The sequence below is a fragment of the Homo sapiens genome, chromosome 12 (assembly GCF_000001405.40).
Source record: "Homo sapiens chromosome 12, GRCh38.p14 Primary Assembly".
NCBI lineage: Eukaryota > Metazoa > Chordata > Mammalia > Primates > Hominidae > Homo > Homo sapiens.
Window position 1 is genome coordinate 14,704,498 of NC_000012.12, and position 24,356 is coordinate 14,728,853.

General features: G+C 40.5%; 1 long non-coding RNA gene across 1 annotated transcript in view, besides 7 other annotated features; it reads left to right on the plus strand.

The window, feature by feature from the left end:
* GUCY2C-AS1 (GUCY2C antisense RNA 1) overlaps nt 1–24,356 on the plus strand; it is a 70,584-nt gene that overhangs the window by 38,862 nt on the left and 7,366 nt on the right. The window contains exon 5 of the long non-coding RNA NR_186173.1: nt 13,538–13,578. This is a non-coding gene — a long non-coding RNA (GUCY2C antisense RNA 1). The remainder of the gene's footprint in view (nt 1–13,537; nt 13,579–24,356) is intronic.
* Nucleotides 505–1,037: an enhancer, noted in NCBI's record as "OCT4-NANOG-H3K27ac hESC enhancer chr12:14857936-14858468 (GRCh37/hg19 assembly coordinates)". NCBI's record gives its function as "activates a minimal SCP1, AML or CMV promoter by ChIP-STARR-seq in naive H9 embryonic stem cells {active_cell/tissue: H9 hESC(naive)}" and the evidence as "EXISTENCE:reporter gene assay evidence [ECO:0000049][PMID:30033119]".
* Nucleotides 1,038–1,569: an enhancer, noted in NCBI's record as "OCT4-NANOG-H3K27ac hESC enhancer chr12:14858469-14859000 (GRCh37/hg19 assembly coordinates)". NCBI's record gives its function as "activates a minimal SCP1, AML or CMV promoter by ChIP-STARR-seq in naive and primed H9 embryonic stem cells {active_cell/tissue: H9 hESC(naive and primed)}" and the evidence as "EXISTENCE:reporter gene assay evidence [ECO:0000049][PMID:30033119]".
* Nucleotides 5,297–5,828: an enhancer, noted in NCBI's record as "OCT4-NANOG-H3K27ac hESC enhancer chr12:14862728-14863259 (GRCh37/hg19 assembly coordinates)". NCBI's record gives its function as "activates a minimal SCP1, AML or CMV promoter by ChIP-STARR-seq in naive and primed H9 embryonic stem cells {active_cell/tissue: H9 hESC(naive and primed)}" and the evidence as "EXISTENCE:reporter gene assay evidence [ECO:0000049][PMID:30033119]".
* Nucleotides 5,829–6,361: an enhancer, noted in NCBI's record as "OCT4-NANOG-H3K27ac hESC enhancer chr12:14863260-14863792 (GRCh37/hg19 assembly coordinates)". NCBI's record gives its function as "activates a minimal SCP1, AML or CMV promoter by ChIP-STARR-seq in naive and primed H9 embryonic stem cells {active_cell/tissue: H9 hESC(naive and primed)}" and the evidence as "EXISTENCE:reporter gene assay evidence [ECO:0000049][PMID:30033119]".
* Nucleotides 10,018–10,312: a silencer, noted in NCBI's record as "tiled region #453; HepG2 Repressive non-DNase unmatched - State 22:ReprW". NCBI's record gives its function as "represses a minimal TATA promoter and a strong SV40 promoter by Sharpr-MPRA in HepG2 cells {active_cell/tissue: HepG2}" and the evidence as "EXISTENCE:reporter gene assay evidence [ECO:0000049][PMID:27701403]".
* Nucleotides 19,464–19,653: an enhancer, noted in NCBI's record as "active region_6051". NCBI's record gives its function as "activates an Ori minimal core promoter by ATAC-STARR-seq in GM12878 lymphoblastoid cells {active_cell/tissue: GM12878}" and the evidence as "EXISTENCE:reporter gene assay evidence [ECO:0000049][PMID:35858748]".
* Nucleotides 24,175–24,355: a silencer, noted in NCBI's record as "fragment chr12:14881606-14881786 (GRCh37/hg19 assembly coordinates)". NCBI's record gives its function as "represses an EF-1alpha promoter that drives an FKBP-Casp9 reporter gene in an ReSE screen in K562 erythroleukemia cells {active_cell/tissue: K562}" and the evidence as "EXISTENCE:reporter gene assay evidence [ECO:0000049][PMID:32094911]".

The following is a 24,356-nucleotide window of genomic DNA, read 5'->3' on the forward strand; positions in this document are numbered from 1 at the left end:
CACATGAGGTGGAGCTTACAGTGAGCCGAGATAGGGCCACCGCACTCCAGCCTGGGCGACAGAGGGAGACTCCATCTCAAATAACAACAACAAAAAACAAAAAAGCAAAAACCAAGGATGTCTAAAATACATATGAAGTTGCTTTTATTTTCCATGAGGAATAATGCCTACTTCATTCATACAGCAGGTATTTATTGAGAGCCTTCTAATTGTTCTCAGCATGAAAGTTATAGCACAGACAAACAAATTTCTGCCTTCATGATCATTGTATTCTAGTGGGAATTTAAAACTGATAAAACATGACAATATAGTTAACTTTTCCCAAACCTTCAAGTCTGTGCCATATGCAGCTTGCCTAATATGTGGGAACAATGGAAAGGTGATCAGATCCATGTCTAGACTGATGGGATAAGAACAGGAACAGGATGTCAAGATGATTCACAGAAGCAGGAGTTTAAAGTCAGAAAGGTGATCAGGGTAACTCAGGACTTCAGGGACTTGATCAAACATTCGTGTATTAGTCCATTTTGCATTGCAGGTATAAAGGAATACCTGAGACTGGGTAATTTATAAGGAAAAGAGGTTCATTTGGTTCATAGTTCTGCAGGCTGTACGAGCATGGCATCAGCATCTGCTCAGCTTCTGGGGAGGCCTCAGGAAGCTTTTACTCATGGCAGAAGGTGAAGGGGAAGCAGGTGTGTCACATGGCAAGATAGGGAGCAAGAGAGAGAGGATGAGGTGCCAGGCTCCTTTAAACAAGCAGATCCTCCATGAACTAACAGAGCAAGAACTCACCCATTACCATAGGGAGACCATTCATGAAGGATCTTCCCCCAGGGCCCAAACACCTCTCACTAGGCCCACGTCCAACATGAGGGGTCACATTTCAACGTGATATTTGGAGGGGACAACCATTCAAATTTTCATGCATGTCCGTGTGAAGAGACCACCAAACAGGCTTTGTGTGAGCAATAAAGCTGTTTATTTCACCTGGGTGCAGGTAGGCTGAGTCCGAAAAGAGAGTCAGCGAAGGGAGATAAGGGTGGGGCCGTTTTATAGGATTTGGGTAGGTAAAGGAAAATTACAGTCAAAGGGGGTTTGTTCTCTGGCGGGTAGGAGTGGGGGTCGCAAGGTGCTCAGTGGGCAGGAGTGGGGGTCGCAAGGTGCTCAGTGGGGGTGCTTTTTGAGCCAGGATGAGCCAGGAAAAGGACTTTCACAAGGTAATGTCATCAGTTAAGGCAAGGACCGGCCATTTACACTTCTTTTGTGGTGGAATGTCATCAGTTAAGGTGGGGCAAGGCATATTCACTTCTTTTGTGATGCTTCAGTTACTTCAGGCCATCTGGGCGTATACGTGCAAGTCACAGGGGATGCGATGGCTTGGCTTGGGCTCAGAGGCCTGACATTCCTGCCTTCTTATATTAATAAGAAAAATAAAACAAAATAGTGTTGAAGTGTTGGGGCGGTGAAAATTTTTTGGGGGGTGCTATGGAGAGAGAGTGGGCGATGTTTCTCAGGGCTGCTTCAAGCGGGCTTAGGGGCGGCGTGGGAACCTAGAGTGGGAGAGATTAAGCTGAAGGGAGGTCTTGTGGTAAGGGGTGATATTGTGGGGATGTTAGAAGAAACATTTGTCGTATAGAATGATTGGTGATGGCCTGGATATGGTTTTGTATGAATTGAAAAACTAAATGGAATAACAGAAGGAGAAAAACAGGTATAAAAGGTCTACGAATTGGGACGACTCGACGTCTGATTAGAGAGTGCTTAAGGAGATTTGGCATAGTCCTGCCAGCAAAGATTATTTATTTACTTCAAGAGTTAAGAGTGGCAGTTTGGGGATAGCACCAGGAGATATCAGCTGTGATGGCTTGGAAAAACAGTGTAAACTGGCAGTGTAAACAAGAGCAGGGCATGTATGAGTAGTTGAGAAGGGTGAATAGGAGTATGACTAGACAGAAAATAGTAGGGATGACAAGTTTTTTTTTTTTTTTTTTGAGGCACAGTCTAAGTTGGTCTGGTGTCTGGAATGAGACTGGGGCCTAATAAAAAGGAGCGTCTATACAGGACCTTAAATGGGCTGTACCTTGTAGCATTCTGAGGACAGGCCAGAATTCTGAGAAGGGAAAGTGGTAAAAAGTATTGTCCAGTCCTTTTTAAATTGGTGGCTGAGCTTGGTGAGGTGTGTTTTTAAAAGACCTTTAGTCCATTCTACTTTTCTTGAAGACGGAGGACCGTAAGGGATATAAAGGTTTCACTGAATACTAAGAACCTGAAAAACTGCTTGGCTGATATGACTAATAAAGGCTCGTCTGTTATCAGACTGTATTGAGGTGGGAAGGCTAAACTGAGGAATTATGTCTGACAGAACAGAAGAAATGACTGCGGTGGCCTTCTCCGACCCTGTAGGAAAGGCCTCTACTTATTTTGAGGGCCTCTAAAAGTATTAAAGCAGCGGCAGCCACTGCACGCAGACATGAGGGCTAGGCTAAAACAGTAAGGTCAAGTTGTTTGGACAGAAAGGCTACAGGGTGTGGTCCTGGCTCTTGTGTAAAAATTCTGACTGCGCTAACCATGCCTAGGAAGGAAAGGAGTTGTTTTGTAGAAGGTGCTTGGGTTTGAGAGATCAGTCGGACACGATTGGCAGGGAGAGCACGTGTGTTTTTGAGAATTATGCCGAGATAGGTAACAGATGAGGAAGAAATTTGGGCTTGATTGAAGTAATGGGGGCTGTCTGTGAAGCTTTGCGGCAGGACAGCCCAGGTAATTTGCTGAGCTTGATGGGTGTCAGGGTCAGTCCAAGTGAAAGCGAAGAGAGGCTGGGATTAAGGGTGCAAAGGAATAGTAAAGAAAGCATGTTTGAGATCCAGAACAGAATAATGGGTTGTGGAGGCAGGTATTGAGGATAGGAGAGTATATGGGTTTGGCACCACGGGGTGTATAGGCAAAACAATTTGGTTGCTAAGGCGCAGATCCTGAACTAACTTGCAAGGCTTGTCTGGTTTTAGGACAGGTAAAATGGGGGAATTGTAAGGAGAGTTTATAGGCTTTAAAAGGCCGTGCTGTAGCAGGCGAGTAATAACAGGCTTTAATCTTTTTAAAGAGTGCTGCGGGATGGGATATTGGCGTTGAGTGGGGTAAGGGTGATTAGGTTTTAATGAGATGGTAAGGGGTGCATGATCGGTCGCCAAGGAGGGAGTAGAGGTATCTTATACTTGTGGGTTAAGGTGGGGGAATACAAGAGGAGGACGCAAAGGAGGCTTTGGATTGGGAAGAAGGGCGGCAATGAGATATAGCTGTAGTCCAGGAATAGTCAGGGAAGCAGATAATTTAGTTAACGTGTCTCAGTCTAATAAGGGAACTGGGCAGGTGGGGATAACTAAAAAGGAGTGCTTAAAAGAGTATTGTCTAAGTTGGCACCAGAGTTGGGGAGTTTTAAGAGGTTTAGAAGCCTGGCCGTCAATACCCACAACAGTTATGGAGGCAAGGGAAACAGGCCCTTGAAAAGAAGGTAATGTGGAGTGAGTAGCCTCCGTATTGATTAAGAAGGGGACGGGCTTACCTTCCACTGTGAGAGTTACCCGAAGCTCGGTGTCCGTGATGGTCTAGGCGGCTTCCGAGGCGATCGGGCAGTGTCAGTCTTCAGCCGCTAAGCCGAGAAGATCTGGGAAGGAGTCAGTCAGAGAGCCTTGGGCCGGAGTTCCAGGGGCTCTGGGAGTGGCTGCCAGGTGAGTTGAACAGTCCGATTTTCAGTGGGGTCCCACACAGATGGGACGCGGCTTAGGAGGAATCCCAGGCTGCGGGCATTCCTTGGCCCAGTGGCCAGATTTCCGGCACATGTAGCAAGCTCCTGTGGGAGGAGGTTCTGGAGGAACGCCTGGCTGCGTTTCAGGCGTTTGGAGTTCTTGTGTGCTGGAGATGTGGCTGGGGTTTGTCTCACAGTGGAGGCAAGGAATTGCAACTTTTTTCTATTATGGTACACCTTGAAGGCGAAGTTAATTAAATCCTGTTGTGGGGTTTGAGGGCTGGAATTTAATTTTTGGAGTTTTATTTAATGTCGGGAGCAGATTGGGTAATAAAATGTATATTGAGAATAAGACGGCCTTTTGACCTTTTAGGGTCTAGGGCTGTAAAGTGTCTCAGGGTTGCTGCCGAACGAGTCATGAACTGGGCTGGATTTTTATATTTGATGAAAAAGAGCCTAAACACTTCTGATTTGGGATAAAGAAAAAGGAGCATTAACCTTGACTATGTCTTTAGCTCCAGCCACCTTTTTCAGAGTAAATTGCTGGGCAGGAGGGGGAGGGCTAGTCACGGAACGAAACTGTAAGCCGGACCGGGTGTGAGGAGGGGAGGTGATAAAAGGATTATAGGGTGGAGGAGCAGAGGCTGAGGAAGAATTGGGACCTAGCTCAGCCTGGCAAGGAGCAGCCTGGGGAGGAAGGGAGAGGTCAGATGGGTCTGTAGAAAAGGAAGTTTAGAAAGACTCAGCGACGCTTGGGGTTGGTACTGAGGGGACAGGCGGGAGGGAAAGAAGGAAGATTTGGGACGAGTTGCACTGGTCACAGAGACTAGGAAGGGACTGATGTGTAAAAGAATGCCTGGACGTCAGGCACCTCAGACCGTTAGCCTATTTTACGACAAGAATTATTTAGATTTTGCAGGATGGAAAAATTCAAAGTGCCATTTTCTGGCTATTTGGAACTACTGTCGAGTTTGTATTGGGGTCAAGCGGCATTGCAGAAGAAAATAAGGCATTTAGGTTTTAGGTCAGGTGTGAGTTGAAGAGGTTTTAAGCTTTTGAGAACACAGGCTAAGGGAGAAGAAGGAGGAATGGAAGGTGGAAGGTTGCCCATAGTGAAGGAGGCAAACCCTGAGAAAAGAGAGCATAGAGACACGGAGGAGGGGAGTGGGGTTCTTGCCCTCCAGAAAAGCAGAGAGGGGGTTGGGACACGGAAATAAGGGATTGGGGCACAGAGATAAGAGGTCAGGGTGTGGAAATAAGGGATTGGAGCGCAGAGATAAGAGGTTGGGGTGCGGAAATAAGTGATTGGGGGGTTCTTGCCCCCTAGGAAAGCGGGACTTGCCGCTAAGGGTGAAGAAGGGGTTGAGGGGTACTTGCCCCTGCCCCAGGAAAGCAGAGAAGGGGTAGATACAAGGAGAGAAGAGGTTGAGGTACTTGCTCCTTCCCCAGAAAAGCGGGACTTGCCGCTAAGGGTGAAGGACCAAGGCAGGCATCCCTGCATGGTCTGACACCCTTGAAATGTGGCTGAATGATCAGAGAGGCCGTCCCTGCAATGATTAAACACCAAGGGAAGGCTGCCTTCCCAGTCCGTGACCGGCGCCAGAGTTTTGGGTTCATGGATAAAACATGTCTCTTTTGTCTCTACCAGAAAATGAAAGGAATTGAAATTAAGAGAAGGGAGAGATTGAAGTGTGGCGCCAAGATTGAAAGGAGAAAGAGGTTGAGGGATAGTGAGGGAGGTTGGAGAAGAGAGTAAAAAGAGGCCGCTTACCGGATTTGAAATTGGTGAGATGTTTCTTGGGCTGGTCGGTCTGAGGACCTGAGGTCGTAGGCGGATGTTTCTCACAGAGCAAAGAGCAGGAGGACAGGGGATTGATCTCCCAAGGGAGGTCCCCCGATCCGAGTCATGGCACCAAATTTCATGCGCGTCCGTGTGAAGAGACCACCAAACAGGCTTTGTGTGAGCAATAAAGCTGTTTATTTCACCTGGGTGCAGGTAGGCTGAGTCCGAAAAGAGAGTCAGCAAAGGGAGATAAGGGTGGGGCCGTTTTATAGGATTTGGGTAGGTAAAGGAAAATTACAGTCAAAGGGGGTTTGTTCTCTGGCGGGTAGGAGTGGGGGTCACAAGGTGCTCAGTGGGCAGGAGTGGGGGTCGCAAGGTGCTCAGTGGGGGTGCTTTTTGAGCCAGGATGAGCCAGGAAAAGGACTTTCACAAGGTAATGTCATCAGTTAAGGCAAGGACCGGCCATTTACACTTCTTTTGTGGTGGAATGTCATCAGTTAAGGTGGGGCAAGGCATATTCACTTCTTTTGTGATTCTTCAGTTACTTCAGGCCATCTGGGGGTATACATGCAAGTCACAGGGGATGCGATGGCTTGGCTTGGGCTCAGAGGCCTGACACAAACTATATCAGCTGGGGAGGGTTATTGGATCTTCTACAAGTATGAAAAGAGATTCAAAGTAGTCTTAGCTAGACAACAACGTGGAGTGAACCCAATGACACAAAATCATTCCTAGTGTTTCGCATCTAAACCTAGTGCTAGTGTCTGGGATGCTTCAAACTGACAGGCTTGTTTCTTTTCCTTGGTGTACCAGTGTCCTGGATTCTCCCCTCCCCCATTCCAACTCTATTCAATGCTTGAGCAGTGTCTTCCTCTCCCTCCTTTCCAAACCTTTTAAATACCGTGTTCTCTGTGCTCCAGAAAGGTTGGAGCAGGTGATTGTTACACTTGTCAAGGATAGATGAAAAATCTGTTAAATTTTCTTCTGCCTCTTGGATTGGCTCTTCTGTCCAGGTGGTTGTGTTTACATACTAAGGAAAGTGTGTTTGGAGACAGTAGCAATATGTCTCAGCTATAATAAACTTGTCTGTGTGCTGGAAACACTTCCTGTTTTCTCCTAAATCAAACACAACATAAGGAACAGACACAGTTCACTCCCTAGGATGCCAAAGCGTGGTTAGTTGGGCTGATATTTCAACAGTTATAAAGAAACTCTGTATTATTCATAGAAAAGTCAGCTAACACTCTTGTTTTTGCCCTTTAAGGCAGCTGAAAGATTACTTCCTTATGTAGGTTAAAATGATAGCTTAGAAAAGAAAGAAAGACTGTGATTATTTCTCTGAAGTGTAAACAGAGAAATGGTGAGTTTTGTTTATTGACGTATCCTTACCTTGTGGTTAAAAAGGTAGGGAAAGCATTTAAATAACAGAATGGCATATCTTGAGACAAAGAGGAGCTTCTTTGAATTCTAGGAGACAGTTTTACACACACACACACAACTTGGAGCTGGATTTGAACCTTGTTTTGGCTCTTTGCTAAGCATATGAACTTTGGGCAGGTTACCTATATTTGCCGATCCTCAGTTTTCTCATTTCTAAAATAAATTTACTTTCTATCCTAACCAATTTTCCGGCTTAGGCCTAAGCTGTGACCCTTGCTGGATTTTGGACATGGGTAAGTGTGCAAGGCGATTGATGGGATCTGCTCAAACAAAATCCAAGTACCTGTGGTTCAAGAGTAAGTAATCCATTCTAAGAAAAACAGGCAAGCATTGACGTGTACAGATTAGCTGTCGTATTACTCAAATCTGTCTGCAGTTCAGCCCATAAATTCATACCTTAGTTTAAGGGAGAAAAAGGCCTGGAAAAAAAAAACTGGAAGAACAACCCAATAGGGCACTGACTGAATATTAAGACAGAGATATCATTGCTTAGGGCCCCTCTACCAGGCTCCATCACATAAAGGGGAGGCTGTTGTTCCTGGCCTGGGCCCTGTTCATCAGGCCTGAGCACCACCTGATGAATGCTCATGCTCAGCGGGTCCATGGCAGTACCCAGCATACGTAGGCAGATTGGACAATGTTCAAAACATGCCCAGCAACTTCTAGAAATACAGGGTCAACAACAAGTGAAAATAAGTTACTACTCTTGCTATAAACTTTGCAGATCCCAGTGTGGGGAAATTTGGGTTCATTACATCAGAAAATGGTATCATAAAGTTCCTGGCACCTAGCTGAGTAGGTGCTCAACAAATGTTAATTATTGTTATTCTTCGATGCCTTTCTGTACACGGCAGAATAGATTACTCCTTTCTTTTTGAGGCTTTTGTGCATTATAGATATTTCTTACCTAACATTAAACATTTAATTGAAACTAATTTAATTGGAATTTTAAAATATATGCCAATTTTATTATATTAGAAAAGAATGGTAGTGGGAAGAAATTCTAGTGATATTCAAGAAATGACAGGCTAGAAGTGATTTAAAAATTATTTCTAAAACAAATCTTTAGAATCTATCACAGGAACAGAAGTTTGAGCTATATGTATTTAGATATATCTATTTGTTGTCTGAAATATGTTTACAGCAAACCAGCAGAACATATCTGAAACAAAAACAGAATTTAAGAAATATAAAATGGTACATACTCCTTTTCATGTTATGCATGAGATTAGGAAAAAATAATTTCTCTAATGCTTCAAACTTGGCAAAATTATTCAAAGGATGAACAAATGTCTGATGGAAAGAATCAGATTTAAAGTGATAAGATCAACGAGGAGAAAAGACTTCTTAATCCTTCAAGATTGCAAAACCAGTTGCCCAAAGACTCATTAAATCAAATGTATTAAATGCAGTCACATTCCACACACATTATTTTTCTGTTAAAAATAGAAAGGAGTTGTACAGTTTTGCTGTTGGAATAATAAATTAGTTTTGATTTTGTAGTTATATGGCAAGAAAATAGGGTCTGGAGGCAGGGAACATAAGGCCGATTCACACTACAGCTATGACAAGAAATATCCTCTCCATAGGGCATACACTGAGTAAATGACTTTGTAACTTTACTTCATCCTCTTCATTTACATAGGGCGTACCCCAAGTAGAGGGTATTTAAACTCACAAAAACTCTGTAACAAGGTCTTTGAGCCCCTATGCTCAGGCCCGCTCCCACACTGTGGAGTGTACTTTCATTTTCTATAAATTCCTTCATTCCTTCCTTGCTTTGTTTGTGCATTTTGTCCAATTCTTTGTTCAAGATGCCAAGAACCTGGACACCCTCCACCAGTGACAGTTATATTTGTGTACTTTGGACCCAATACTTTTTCCCCTAGCTCTCAAACATCATGTAGGCTTTTAAAATTCTCAGAGACCAAGACAGTGATAGCACTCTATCCTGATGAGTAAGGATGGAAAATAAATGGAGGCCAAGGCCATTTACAGCTGGCGCTCACAACATCCTTGTGAAATAAAAGGGGACAGTATTTAAATTAAGGCATTTGCAAGAGAAGCAGAAGCTAAGAGTCAACAAAATACAAAGCTGTAAATTTGTGGGGAAAAAATACAATTATATAGAAAATGTGAATGTGGAAGCTAGTGAGAATTCTTGGAAAAAATTCAGAAATTTGCAAGAGCAGGTTGTAACATAAACATGAAGTTAGCAAGAATGATAACTGATACAGGAGGTTTGGTTTTTAGCATGAGAACATGGAGGAAGTCGGATCATGAAGTTTCTGGTGTCAATTTTCTTGTGTCTTCTTGCTGTGTAACTGCCATGCAGAAGGCATGTGGACTTTTTACATGACCCCCACAGAAAAATTGGAGACAAAAAAATAGTTGGGCATTTGCTCTTAAAAGAAGGATGGTTAGCAATAACATAATAGTTTTACAGCTCAAAGTTTTCGAACCTAATTCTAAAAACGGAAGAAGTGATGACAGTAGTTGAGATGCAGATTTCAAATTCCCTCTCTTCAAGTTGAAGTGTTCCTGGAAATGGTATGCTCAGACAAAGAAAAAATAATTCCCAAATCAAAACATGTAAACAGCATGGTGAAGAAGATTGCTGAGAAGGGGGAGAGGGCTGAGGATCTAAAATGGACCTTCAGGAAAGTTCGACGCAGGAAAGTATGAAACTATTGAGACCCTCCCAGAGAACGGAGGGTTTGACTTCATCTGACTGTGTCTCCTCTGCTTGTGTTTGCTTAATAAATGTCTGCATGTGAGGCAGACAACATACAAAAATCGATACTTAAAATAGAAATGATTGGGCTCTAAGATAATGAAATGGCTCCGTTGTCTGAGGAATATACCCTGGTTCTTTGTCACGGTCGAGAAAGAATTCACAACACAGACACACATCAGGAGTGGGTTTAGGAGAGGAAAGTTTAATAGCCAAAAAGGTAGAGAGAGAGAAAAGGCTTCTTCATGCTGAGAAAGCAGCTTGCCAAACAGAGGGTCTCTGGTTTGTGGCAGAATGAAATCGATTTTGTACAGAGGCTTGAGGAGGCGGTGATTGATTTTAATAGGGCCCAGGGGATTGATTTGACCAGGTGTGCCATTTACATAGCCCGAAAAGACTGGCCCTCCCACCCTAGACTTTTATTATGCAAATGTGGCTTCTACCTGGCTGGTTGCCATGATACCCGTACATGTGGTTTTACCTAGAGGCTGCCAAAGCACTGGCACACATGGTGTGCCAGGAAAAGAGGGCGGGAGGTGCCATATTGAATGTACCTGGCTTCCAGGTACAGCTGCCGGCATTTACATATAAAATCTCCTAGTTTGCATATCTATGCCTGACTTTTCAGGGTGCTTTCTGTTAGGGAAGAAATTATTTGGGGCTGCTTTTTATTAAAAGAAAATTTCACCAAGAACTTTTACCCTTTCTGGCTGCCTAAAAATAATTTCTTAATAACTCCTGTTAATAAGAATTTAGGGAATCATAAAAAGGCCACTGAAATGAAAGTGGGAGAAAGCTCAAATGCTGTGAATTAACATCTGCCATTCATTGAGCACCTAGTGGGAACTTACCACTCAGATTATGTGTCAAACACCCAAGTCTGAGTAACCATAATTTGCGTTTCAAGTAAAAATCATTTCCATAAAACAGTGTCTATTTCAGCTTATGACTCAAGCAATCATACAAATAAGTTGTAGTGGATGAAGAATATAATGACCACTAGTGGAGTTTGGTGTCACTGCTTTGATTTGTGCTGAGGTTGTAATGCCTAAGGTTCTTGCCTAGCCACGCCAAAGAATTGGGGTGGCGGCTAACTGCGGCCAGTGATAGAGACACAGACCGAGAGAGAGAGAAAAAGCGGTAGGCTTTATTGAGCAGAGTGAAAGTACAAAGCTTCTGGCCAGGCACAGTGGCTCACGCCTGTAATCCCCAGGACTTTGGGAGGCCGAGGCGGGCGGATCACGAGGTCAGGAGATCGATAGACTATCCTGGCTAACACGGTGAAACCCCCTCTCTACTAAAAATACAAAAAATTAGCCGGGCGTGGTGGCGGGCGCCTGTAGTCCCAGCTACTTGGGAGGCTGAGGCAGGAGAATGGCAAGAACCCGGGAGGCGGGGCTTGCAGTGAGCCGAGATCACGCAACTGCACTCCATCCTGGGCAACAGAGCGAGACGCCGTCTCAAAAAAAAAAAAAAAAAAAAAGAAAGAAAAAAGAAAGTATAAAGCTTCTGCAGCGTGGAAGAGGTCCTGAAGGGGTAGCCACTGTTGATTTTGGGTGATTGCCTTTTAAACTCTTTCAGGCGGGAAATAACGTGCAGCGGGAAGATGCTACCAGAGCGAGAAACAAAGGCAGTAAATTATTTTGTGACATGTCTTAGATTTTGAGGAAAACTGGAATTGCAACTTAGGTTTTATCTACTTTATGACCTTGCAGCGGCATGGCAAAGGAGACAGGATATTACAGGACTTTACAAAGTATGTTTACAAGGAATTGGAATTGGGAGTATTACTAGATAAGGTCTGCTGGTCACAGAAAAACGGGCAGTTAACATTTCTTTTACTTTAGTTTTGGGGGAGAGGGAAAGGAGAGAAGACAGGGAAACTTACAGCACAATTTTCGCTGTTTATAGCTTTCTTGGGGGAAGAAAACACATGCACAAATCCTGGTGTTAGGCATATTTTAAGCATATATCTTCAATATTATTTATCCAGGACTGAAGGAAGTCCTGATGCAGGAAATGAGTGAAACGTTTCACAGCTTTCTGAGCCCCTACTAGACCCAGGAAGCCCAACTGGCACCTACTCTCAAGGCTACAGTGGTTTTACCATTATTGCTTTTGTATGTGAACCCAGACATCTGAGACAGGTCTCAATTTAAAAAGTTTATGTTGCCAAGGTTGAGGATGTACCCATGACACAGCCTCAGGAAGTTCTGACCACATGTCCCCAAGGTGGTCAGAGCACAGCTTGGTTTTGTATATTTTAGGGAGACATGAGACATCAATCAATGTATGTAAGAAGTACATTGGTTTGGTCTGGAAAGGTGGGACAACTTGAAGCAAAGGCAGGAAGACTCAAAGTGGGAAGGGAGCTTCCAGGTCACAGATAGGTGAGACACAAATGGTTGCATTCTTTTGAGGTTCGGATTAGCCTTTCCAAAGAAGGCAAATCAGATATGCATCTATCTCAATGAGCAGAGGAGTGACTGAATAGAATGGGAGGCAGGTTTGCCCTAAACAGTTTCCAGCTTGAGTTTTCCTTAGTGATTTTGGGGGCCCAAGATATTTTCCTTTTACACTATTAACATGAATGTCAATATAGAGGAAAGGCAAGTAACATTTTAGTGTTCTTATGATACTGATCTCATTGATCCCTTTAAGTGTCTTGGGAACCCTCACCCAAGGTGAATATGAACCACACTTTGAGAACCACTCCTCTGCATGATAACTATCTTGCTCACATTGCAGGTCTCATCTCCTATCACTCTCTGCTTGGCTCTCCAAGTTCCACCCACTAAAGGACATTTACATCAGCTGTTCCCAGAAAGCTCTGCCCCCTGGTGTCCTTATTGTTATCACAGCTCAGCTCAAATGGCACCTTGCAAAGACACTTTCTGTGATCACCCAGTTTAAAGAGCACCCCTTACCCGTAGTCATTCCCTGTTACATTATCCTGCTTTATTTTTTAGAAAAAAATTTATCATTTGATATTAGTTTACTTTTTGAATTCAAGGAATTGAACTATCTTGTTCATTTCTGTATCCCTGTCTTTTAGAACAGTATAGTCAAAATTCAATAAATACTTATTGAATAAACAGATTTTAAAAGGACATTGAAGAATGAAAAAGAAAAGGTGAATATGACAGTAATTTGAATAATATAAAGCATTACAAAGTTGTTTACTGTAGTTTTCAATATTAATCTCCTGATGACTATGACCTTCTGCTGATTATTTTCCATTTTTTAAATGTTATTCAGACTTTAATATTCTCTATATAGCAATATGGAACTTGTATTCTTTTATTTTTCCTTCCTATTATTACACTTAGGTGGAGTGCAAAATATTTTAAGGTACAGCAATATAATCCTCCTTATATGTAAAAAAAAAGATTTCTTCCATTAGTGTCTTTAGAGGATAGTGTAAAGGTTAAAAACTATGGGCATGATCAATTTGGGGATAACTGACATCTTTAGTATATTGAATCTTATTATTTAGGAACATGGTATGTCTGCCCCTTTATTTACGTCTTTCTTAATGTATCTAAATGAAGTTTTATAATTATCTTCCCAACTGTTTTATATATTATTTATTAGAAGTATTCATAACTAGTATATATATGTTTGTTTGACTATAAAGCGTATGTTGTATATTTTTAAAATAATTCCTGGGTAGAAACTTAAATTTCAAAATATTGATCTTGTATCTGATAACCTTGCTAAACTCTTTCATTACATTCTAGTAATTTCTAGATAAAAGAAGTTTTCTATATATGCAAACATATCATCTGCTAAATATTCTTTTCCCTTTCTTCTCTCTTTATGATACTGTTTCAAATAGGAGCGGCGAGATTCTGCATCTTAGCTTGCCTAGGTGGGGAGGTAAGACAGTTTTTATATTCTTATTTTCCCTCTTGTCTTATCTACTGTTTTACCTAACAGTTTATATCTTGTTATGTTTCTGATTTTAAAGGTAATGCTTTTAACATTTCACTACCAAGTAAGATATTTACTGTAGGCATTTAGCTTTTATTTTATTTTATAGTTTTAGATTCTTTTATCAGGATAGAAAGATTTTTTTTCTATCCCTAGTTTTTAAAGTTTTTAATCATAAAAACTTTATTATTTAAACTTTATATTGATTTTTCTGCATCTATTGAGATTATCAAAATGTTTTTTCAACTTTTTTTTTTGAGAAAGAGTCTTGCTCTGTTGCTCAGGCTGGAGTGCAGTGGCATGATCTCGGCTCACTGCAACCTCTGCCTCCCAGGTTCAAGTAATTCTTGTGCCTCAGCCTCCTGAGTAGCTGGGACTACAGGTGTGCATCACCATGTCCAGATTATTTTTGTATTTTTAGTAGAAACGGGGTTTTGCCATGTTGGCCAGGCTGGTCTTGAACTCCTGGCCTCAAGCGATCCTCCCGCTCTTGGCCTTCCACAGTGCTGGGATTATGGGCGTGAGCCACAGAACCCCGTCAACTTTTTATTTTTTAATAAGAAAATTATATCAGCCTATTTTGTCATGTTGAACTATTCATGGAATAGTTGCATTCATGAAACAAATGCAACTTGGTCAAAATATATTTATTTTCTTATTTATATATTGCTAGGTTTGGCTTGCTATTATTTTATTTGGATTTTTGCATCTGTATCTTGAGTAATATTGGTCCACAATTTGCCTTTCTCATATGAGAAAGAACTGCCTTTGTCAGGTTTTGGTGTCAAAGTTGTACTAACCTCATACAATTAGTTGATGAGTATTATTTCTTTTTCTGTTAATTAGAAGAGTTTATATAAGGTTGGAATCATCTGTTCTTGAATGTGTAAGGAGGATATGATTTTTTAAACAAACACAAAACAGTACAAATCATAGAGGAAATGCTAAGTTTTTCTTCTTACATTAGAATTAAGAACTAAAAAAATTCACCAAATGCACTATAAAGTGAATGAAAATACAACTAAGAAATAATTGCAGTATGCCTAATTGTCAAAGGACTAATGTGTTCAGAATATAATACAACTTTTACAAATAATAAGAAAACAATTGAATATAAAAATTATCTGTATAATCTTATTTGAATCATTCTCCTCTGTTCCACTCACCTGATGTAGGTAATTTTTATTACTTTTACTTTAAACATTATAGTTTTTTTTAATGCATAGAGGAATATATACTCATGTTTTACCTCCTTTTATATCTAGTGACATTCCAATCTGTAATGTATGACAATACCTGGCTCTTCACAGCCTTTTTTTTTTTTTTTTTTTTTGAGACAGGGTCTGGAGTGGAGTGCAGTGGTATAGTCATTGCTCATACAACCTCAATTGCCTGAGCTCAAGCAATTCTTCCATCTCAGCTTCCCAAGTAGCTGGGACCACGGGCATGTGCCACCACACCCAGCCATTTTTTAAATTATTATTATTTGTAGAGACGAGGTCTTGCTATGTTGCCCAGGCTGGTCTTCAACTCCTGGGCTCAAACAATCCTTCCACTTTAGCCTCCCAAAGTGCTGGGATTACAGGTGTGAACCACTGTGCCCAGCCTACTTCATAGCCTCTGATGCAGAATCTGCTGTTAAAATTTTTGACTTTTAGTTATTTAATAGGTGAGAAATGATATTTCAGTGGTGTTCCTATTACATTTATCTTAACAGTTAGATCAAGAATCTTTTCTCAATGCTGCTTGTTTGGTTGGGTAAAAGAAAATAATTAAAAATAAAATAAAAAATTGTTATAAGTTTAAAGAATTCTCAATAGCTATACAACTTCAGGGTGAGACTGCACTTTGAAGATATATACTGCTGTCCTCTGGCATCCATCATTCCTGTTAAGAAGTTATCTGTCTTATATAATTACTTTATCTTTTTTCTGTAGCTGCTTTTAAAGACTTCTTTTTGTCTTTTGGGTTCTGCAGTTCTACCACAGAGTTTCTAGGTGGATATTTATTTTTATTTATTCTACTTGTGATTCACTGATAATTTTGACTATGAGGATTGGTTTCTTTCACCATTTCTGAATATTGTCAACTACTAGCTCTTCAAATATTGCCTCATTCTCATACTCTCTATTCTTTCCTTTTGAAACTTCTATTAGACAGAGAGGTATGCTTTCTTGCTTTGTTCTCTATATTTATTCTCAACTTTTATTTCAGGTTCAGGGCATACATGAGCAGGTTTGTTACATGGGTAAATTGCATGTCACTGAGGTTGGGTGTATAAATGACCTCTCTTGTCATGCAGGTAATGAGTATAGTACCCAATAGGCAGTTTTCCAGCCCTTTCCCCTCCAATCCTCCCCCTCTAGTAGTACTCAGTGTCTCTTATTCCCATCTTTATGTCCGTATGTACTCAATGTTTAGCTCCCACTTATAAGTGAGAAATATGCAATATTTCAGAACTGCTTTAGCTAATCTAGGTCCTTTGGCATTCCACATTAATTCTAGAATAATATTGCCTATGCCTTTTAAAATATTACTGGCATTTTGACTGACATTACATTAAACCTATACAATTTGGGGACGATTGACATCATTACTATAGTGCATCTCCCAATTCATGAACATGGTATGTCTCTCCATTTATTTAGATCTTTAAAATTTTTTAAATTGACAAATAGTAACTATGCATAGTTATGGGGTACATGTGATGCTTTGATATGTGTATACATTTAAAATGATTAAATCTAGTAATTAGTATATATATCACCTCAAACATTTATCATTTATTGTTGTTAAAACATTCAAAATTCTCTCTTCTAGCAATTTTGAAATGTACAATACATTATTGTTAACTATTTTTACCCTACTATGCAATAGAACACCAGAACTTATTCCTCCTGTCTAACTGTACCTTTTTACCCATCGATCAACTTCTCCCCATTCTTTCCTATCCTCTACACTATCCAGCCTCTGGTAACCACTATTCTACTCTCTACTCCATCTCTTTTATATTCCACATATGAGTGAGAATTTGTTTTACTGTACCTGGTTTATTTAACTTAACATAATGTCCTCTAGGTTCATTATGTTGCCACAAATGATAGGATTTCATTGTTTTTTATGGTTGAATAATATACCATTGTGTATGTGTGTATACATATATATATCTATATATATCACATTTTAAAAAAACTATATATCAGGCTAGGTGTGGTGGCTCACACCTGTAATCCCAGCACTTTGGGAGGCCAAGGCAGGCAGATCACTTGAGGTTAGAAGTTCAAAACCAGTCTGGCCAACATGGTGAAACCCTGTCTCTACTAAAAATACAAAAAAAAAAAAAAAAAAAATAGCCAGGCATGGTGATAGGTGCCTGTAGTCCCAGCTAATTGGGAGGCTGAGACAGAAGAATTGCTAGAACCCAGGAGGTGGAGACTGCAGTAAGCCAAGATTGCGCCACTGCACTCTAGCCTGGGCTACAGAGCAAGATTTCATCTCAAAAAAAAAATCTATTTATCTGTTGATGTACACTTAGGTTGATGGTTGATTCCATATCTTGACTACTGTGAATAGTGCTGCAATAAACATGGGGTGCAGGTATCTCCTTGACATATATATATATATTTTTTTTTTTTTTTTTTTTTTTTTTTTGAGACGGAGTCTCGCTCTGTCGCCCAGGCTGGAGTGCAGTGGCGGGATCTCGGCTCACTGCAAGCTCCGCCTCCCGGGTTCACGCCATTCTCCTGCCTCAGCCTCCCAAGTAGCTGGGACTACAGGCGCCCGCCACTACGCCCGGCTAATTTTTTGTATTTTTAGTAGAGACAGGGTTTCACCGTTTTAGCCAGGATGGTCTCGATCTCCTGACCTCGTGATCCGCCCGCCTCGGCCTCCCAAAGTGCTGGGATTACAGGTGTGAGCCACCGCGCCCAGCCCTTCCTTGACATATTAATTCTATTTTTAAATTTTTTGATATATACCCAGTAGTAGTATTGTTAGATCATATGGTAGCTCTGTTTTTAATTTTTTGAGAAAACCTCCATACTGTTTTCCCTAATGTCTGGTACTAATTTACATTCCCACCAACAGTGTATTAAAGTTCCCCTTTTTCCACATCCTCATCAGCATCAGCATTTGTTATTTTTTTATCTCTTTGATGAAAGCCATTTTAACTGAGATGAGGTAATATATCTCATTGTGGTTTTGATTTGCATTTCCCTGATTAGTGATGCTGAGCATTTTCCATATCCCTTTGGTCATCTGTATGTCTTCTTTGGAGAAATGTCTACTCAGGCTTCTTGCCCATTTTTAAGTTGGGTTTTGGATTTTTTGGGTTGCTGTAGGGCTGTTTGAGTTCTTTGTATAATCCAGATATTAACCCCTTGTCAGATGCATAGTTTGCAGGTATTTTCTCCCACTCTATAGGCTTTCTCTTTGGTCTATTTCCTTTGCTGTGCAGAAGCTTTTTAGTTTGATGTAATTGCATTCACCTATTTTTGCTTTTGTTGCCTGTGTTTTTGAGGTCTTATCAAAAAAATTCTTGCTCCAGACAAATGCCATGAACCATTTCCCAGAGATAGATAGATAGATAGATAGATAGATAGATAGATAGACAGACAGACAGACAGATAGATAGATAGATGTTTTGAGACAGAGTCTGCCATGCTGGAGTGCAGTGACATGATCTTGGCTCACTGCAACCTCCGCCTCCTGGGTTCAAGTGATTCTCATGCCTCAGCCTCCCAAGTAGCTGGGATTACAAGCACATACCATCACACCTGACTAATGTTTGTATTTTTAGTAGAGGTGGGGTTTCACCATGTTGGCCAGGCTGGTCTCAAACTCCTGACCTCAAGTGATCCACCCACCTTGACCTCCCAGAGTGCTGGGATTACAGGCATGAGTCACTGCACCCAGCCCATTTACCCTATATTTTATTCTTGTAGTTTTGGATCTTTTGTTTAAGTCTTTTTTTTTTAAGAGATAGGAACTCACTATGTCCACTGTGTTGCCCAGGCTGGCCTTGAACTCTTGGGCTCAAGTGATCCTCCTGCCTCAGCCTCCTGAGTAACTGGGTCTATGGATGTGCACCACCACCTGGCTACGTTTAAGTCTTTAATCTATTTTGAGCTGATTTTGCAGTTGGTGAGATAAGGATCTAGTTTCATTCTTCTGCATATATATCCAGTTTTTCAAGCACCATTTATTAGACTGTCCTTTTCCCATTGTGTGTTCTTGGCACTTTTATTGAAAATTAGTTGGCTGTAAATATGTGCATTTATTTCTATGTTCTCTATTCTATTCCACTGGTCATTGTGATTCTTTTTTTTTATTCCAGTGCCATGCTGTTTTGGTTACAATAGTTTTGCAGTATATTTTGAAGTCAGCTACTGTGATGCCTCCAGCTTTCTTTTTCTTTGCTCAAGATTGCTTTGGCTATTCAGGGTCTTTTGTGGTTCCATGCAATTTTTTTTCTTACACTGCTATTTTGAATTCCTTGTCTAATAGGTCACACATCTTCTCTTTGGGATTTGTCACTAGCCCCTTATTTTGCCTGTTTAGTGAGGTCATAATTCCGATTGTACTTGGTGATTGTGGCTGCACTTCGATGTCTGCACATCGAAAAATTAGGTATTTATTTTAATCTTCACAGTCTGGCTTTAAATGTTCCCATGCTTCTTCAGTGGGCCTGTTCAGTTATCCAAGCCGACTGTTATGAAAGACTCTGACCAGTGCAGCTGTTCCGACACTAGAGGGTGCCCTAAGCCCATATTTGTTGTCAGTTTCACAAAAGTTCCATAGTTGGCATGCACTCTGGCAGAGATGGACCTGGTGAAGATCCAAGGCATGTACCCAAGTTGAGTGAGAATATTGGCCAGGGACCCAAGTCTGGAAGCCTGTCCCATAGGCCCAGACAGGCGAGGCTTCCAGGCCAGTTCCCCAACTGCAGCAGGAGAAGATGGAGCTGAGCCTGGGCCGCCTCTGTACCTGCTGTGGGATGGGGGCTGGTGGCCCAGATATGCAAGCCTCCCAGCAGTTCTCAGGAGATGCTGAAGTTGAGACTAGTTCCCCTCAGAATTCACTGTGAGATCAAGGCCAGTGAGTTCACCCCAGTAGGTCAGGTGGGTGCACATCCCACAGTCATTTCCTGCACAAATGGGACAGTTCCCAGACTGAGGAGCTGGAGTTGATTGGGCCCCCTCAGGATCTGCTTTGGGATGGAGGCTGATGTGCCCATCATGTAGGCTTACATGACTGACATGTGTAATCCCTAGACTGTGAGATATTGGTGAGTCTTTCTCTTGAGTTCTTGCACAAACAGTAATAAGCTGGGATCCCAGATGAGGAGGACTGGAGCCCAGTTACAAGGTAACTTTCAAATTCACTTCCAAGACCGTTGTCAGTGGGCAGACGAGCCTTTCTGCCAAGGTACTAATGTGCATGATTCCTCCTGGACCCCTTGGCAAATTGTTTTGGTTCAAGGATAAACAGGACTGTACCTAAGCCTTTTGGGAAACAAGGCTGTTTCTAGATTTAAATCCCAGGGGCATGATCAGCAGGTCTGCCACCTGGCTGTTGGTCTGCACTCTCAAAACAGTCTTTCTGGCTCTTGGGCTCCACCAGGGATTCATAGCTTCCTACCTTCCTACCTTCCTACCTTCCTACCTTCCTACCACAGAGACTTGTCTGTGGATGAATGCAGACAAATTTTGAGAGGATATGAGTGGGTGACTTCCTATTACACCATTTTGCTGATTTGTTTCTGTTACGTGTGTCCATGTGAAGAGACCACCAAACAGGCTTTGTGTGAGCAATAAAGCTTTTTAATCTCCTGGGTGCAGGTGGACTGAGTGAAAAAGGAGTCAGCAAAGGGAGGTAGGGGTGGGGCAGTTTTATAGGATTTGGGTAGGTAGTGGAAAATTACAGTTAATGGGGGTTTTTCTCTTGCGGGCAGGGGTGGGGGTCACAAGGTGCTCACTGGGGAGCTCCTGAGATTCATTGTCCAGGAGAAGGAATGTCACAAGGTCCATTGATCAGTTAGAGTGGGGCAGGAACAAATCACAGTGGTGGTGTGTCATCAGTTAAGGCAGGAACTGACTATTTTCACTTCTTTTGTGGTTCTTCAGTTGCTTCAGGTCATCTGGATGTATATGTGCAGGTCACAGGTGATATGATGGCTTAGCTTGGGCTCAGAGGCCTGACAGTCTCTAGATTTTATTTATCACTGTTTTGTAATTTTTAGCATTAAAATAATATACATATTTTCTTAGATGTATACCTAAGTATTTCATTTTTTGAGTGATTATAAATGATATTGTATTTTAAATTTTGATGTTCATATATTTATTGCTGGTATACAGAAATAGAATTAATTTTTATATGTTGATCTTGGGTCAGTGACCATGCTGAACTCCCTTATTAGTTCCAAGACCCTTTTCATAGATGCTTTAAAATTTTCTACACAAACGATCATGTAATCTGTAAGTAAGGACAGTTTAATATCGTTTTCACTGAGATATATGCCTTTCATTTTTCTTCTTCCCTTATTCAGTGGCTGTAATGTCCAGGACTATGTTGACTAACATAGTCAACTGGTGAGAGCAGACATTATTTTCAATCTTGGGGTCCACAAGATTCAGTCTTTCACCATTAAATATCATGTTTGCTGTAGTTTCTTTGTAGATGATATTTGTCAAGTTAAAAAATTTCCCCCATCTTTCTCATTTTATGAGAATTTTTATCATTAATGAATTGTGAATATTAACAAATGCTTTTTCTGCATCAGTTGATAATATTGTGTAATTTTCTGTTGATGTGATAAATGATATTAATTGATTTTTCAATATTGAACCATCCTTGTATCCTGAAATAAACCCCACTTGGTAGTTGTTTATCATTCTTTTTATATATTGCTAAATTCTACTTGCTAGTATTTTATTAAAGATTTTTTATCTGTGTTCATGAAATATTGGTCTGTAGTTAATATCTTTTCCTCATTCTTTCTTTTTTATTTCTCTCTTTCTTGTGCTGTTTTTGTCTTGTATGGATATCAAGATAATTCTAGATTTATAAAATTAATTGAGAAAAAATTTTCTCCCTTTCTGTTTTCTGGAAGAGATTGTGTAGAGTTGGCATTAATTCTTCTTTAATGTTTGGTAGAATTCTTGAATGAAACCATCTAAGCCTGAAGAGATTTCTTCTTGGAGAGTTTTAAAAAATTCGAAGTCAATTTTCTTAATACTTATCAGTCTATCAGCATATATTTCATTTTGGTGAGTTCTGGTAGTTTGTGTTCTATTTTATCTAAGATAATTTTGATATCTAAGATAATTCTATCTTTGATAAAATAGAATAAAATAAAAATTCATCTATTTTATCTAAGTTGCCAAATTTATGTGTATGGATTGGTTTCCTTATTATGCTTTTAATGTGTGTAGGGTCTGAAGCACTATCTCCTATTTTATTCTTGATGTTGGTAATTTGTGTCTTTTCTCTTTTTTAAAACAACTTTTCAAGAGGTTTGTCAATTTTATTGACCTTTTCAAAGAATGATTTTCACATTGATTTTTCTGTATTGCCTGTTTTCATTTATTTCTGCTCTTATCCTTATTATTTTCTTTTTTAAAAATTATACATTTTATTTATTTATTGTTATTTTTTGAGACAGGGTCTTGCTCTGTTGCCCAGGCTGGAGTACAGTGGTAGAATCATGGCTCATTGCAACCTTGAACCCTTAGGCTCAAGCAGTCCTCCCACCTCAGCCTCCCAAGTAGCTGGGACTACAGGCATGCACCACCCTTCCCAGCTAATTTTTTGTACTTTTTTGTAGAGGTAGGGTCTTGCTATGTTACCTGGACGGGTCTTGATCTTCTGGTCTCAAGTGATCTTCCCACCTTGGCCCCCCAAACAACTGAGATTACAGGTGTGGGCCACTGCTCCCAGCCCATCCTTATTATTTTCTTCCATCTGCTAGCTTTGGGTTTACTTTGCTGTTTCTTTTCTGTGTTTCTGAGAAGACAGCTTAGATTAATACTTTGAGATTCCTCTTTTCTAATGTATGTAATTTAGTGGTATAAAGTTCCTTTTTAGCAATGCTTTGGTTTTAGCCTACAAATTTGGCATGTTGTGTGTTCATTCAATTAAATGCATTTTTATTGCCCTTGAAACTTTTTCTTTGAAAGAGAACAATATAAAATGTGTTGTTTGGTCTCCAAGTGTTTGGAGGTTTTCCTGTTATCTTTCTGTTATTGATTGTTAGTTTAATTCCTCAGTGGTTAGAGAACACATTCTGTATGATTTAAATTAAAAAAAAAACATTTTTAGGTTTGTTTTATGGCCTGGGATATGATCTATCTTATTACATATTCCTTGAGCACTTGCAAAGAATATGTTTTCTGCTGTTGTTGGATGGAGTGTTCTATAAACGTTGATAAAATCCTGTTGGTTGATGGTGTTGAATTCATCTATCACCTTGCCGATTTTCTGTCTAGTTCTATCAATTATTGAAGGAGAGGTATTGACATTTCCAATTACAACTGCGGATTTGTCAATTTTTTATTTTATTTCTATTTGTCTTTGCTGCACATATTTTTCAACTCTGCTATTTGGTACATACACATTTAGGATAGATATGTCTCCTTGGTTGATTGACCTTTATCATTACATAGTGTCCCTCTTTGTCTCTGGGGTTTTTTTTTATGTTCTGAAGTCCACTTTGTCTGATATTAATACAGTCACTGATGCTTCTTTTTTTAAGTGAAACATGGTGGCTCTTTATTGAAATTTTCATGTGAGGACAGAAACTAATATAATACATTTAATTAACTTGGAATATTTGTGTGAAGATATAAACTAATACCTTCAAATATCCTAGAATCTATCATTTCTAAGCCAGATTATGCTCTTCTATCATTTTCATTCTTTAGCATATGACACAAGTGGGAAATATGTCAAGGGGATGTATGGTGTGTGGTATTAAGGAATGCTATTCTTGATGGCTCGCTATTGTATGGTTTCCAAAACTGTGCTGAAATAATTTTACATTTGGTTGCCTTACTTATTCTCAAGCATTTACAATAAATACGCATGTGAGAAAGAACACAGATACACTTATATCAACCAGTAAGATTGTTCATTAATTATCAAATACAGTGTATGTTAAAAGCCTGTAGGGTTTAGGTTGCTATGTTAGTGATTGGCAAATAATACTTTTACTAGATGTAGAGTTTTTACTGGAAAAGGCAGATACTTTATTTTATTATTATTATTATTATTATTATTATTATTTTTGAGACAGAGTCTTGTTCTGTCGCCCAGGCTGGAGTGTAGTGGTGTGATCTCGGCTCACTGCAATCTCTGCCTCCAGGGTTAAAGCGATTCTCCTGCCTCAGCCTCCTGAGTAGCTGGGATTACAGGCAACTGCCACCATGCCCAGCTAATTTTTTGTATTTTTAGTAGAGATGGGGTTTCACTATGTTGGCCAGGCTGGTCTTGAACAGCTGGCCTCGTGATCCACCCACCTCGGCCTCCCAAAGTGCTGGGATTACAGGTGTGAGCCACCATGCCCAGCCAAGACAGACACTTTAAATTAAATTATAGTAATTTACTTAAATAGAGAAATAAATATACACAATATGTGTTTTTTTTTTTTTTGAGACGGCATCTTGCTCTGTTGCCCAGGCTGGAGTGCAATGGCGTGATCTCGGCTCACTGCAACCTCCGCCTCC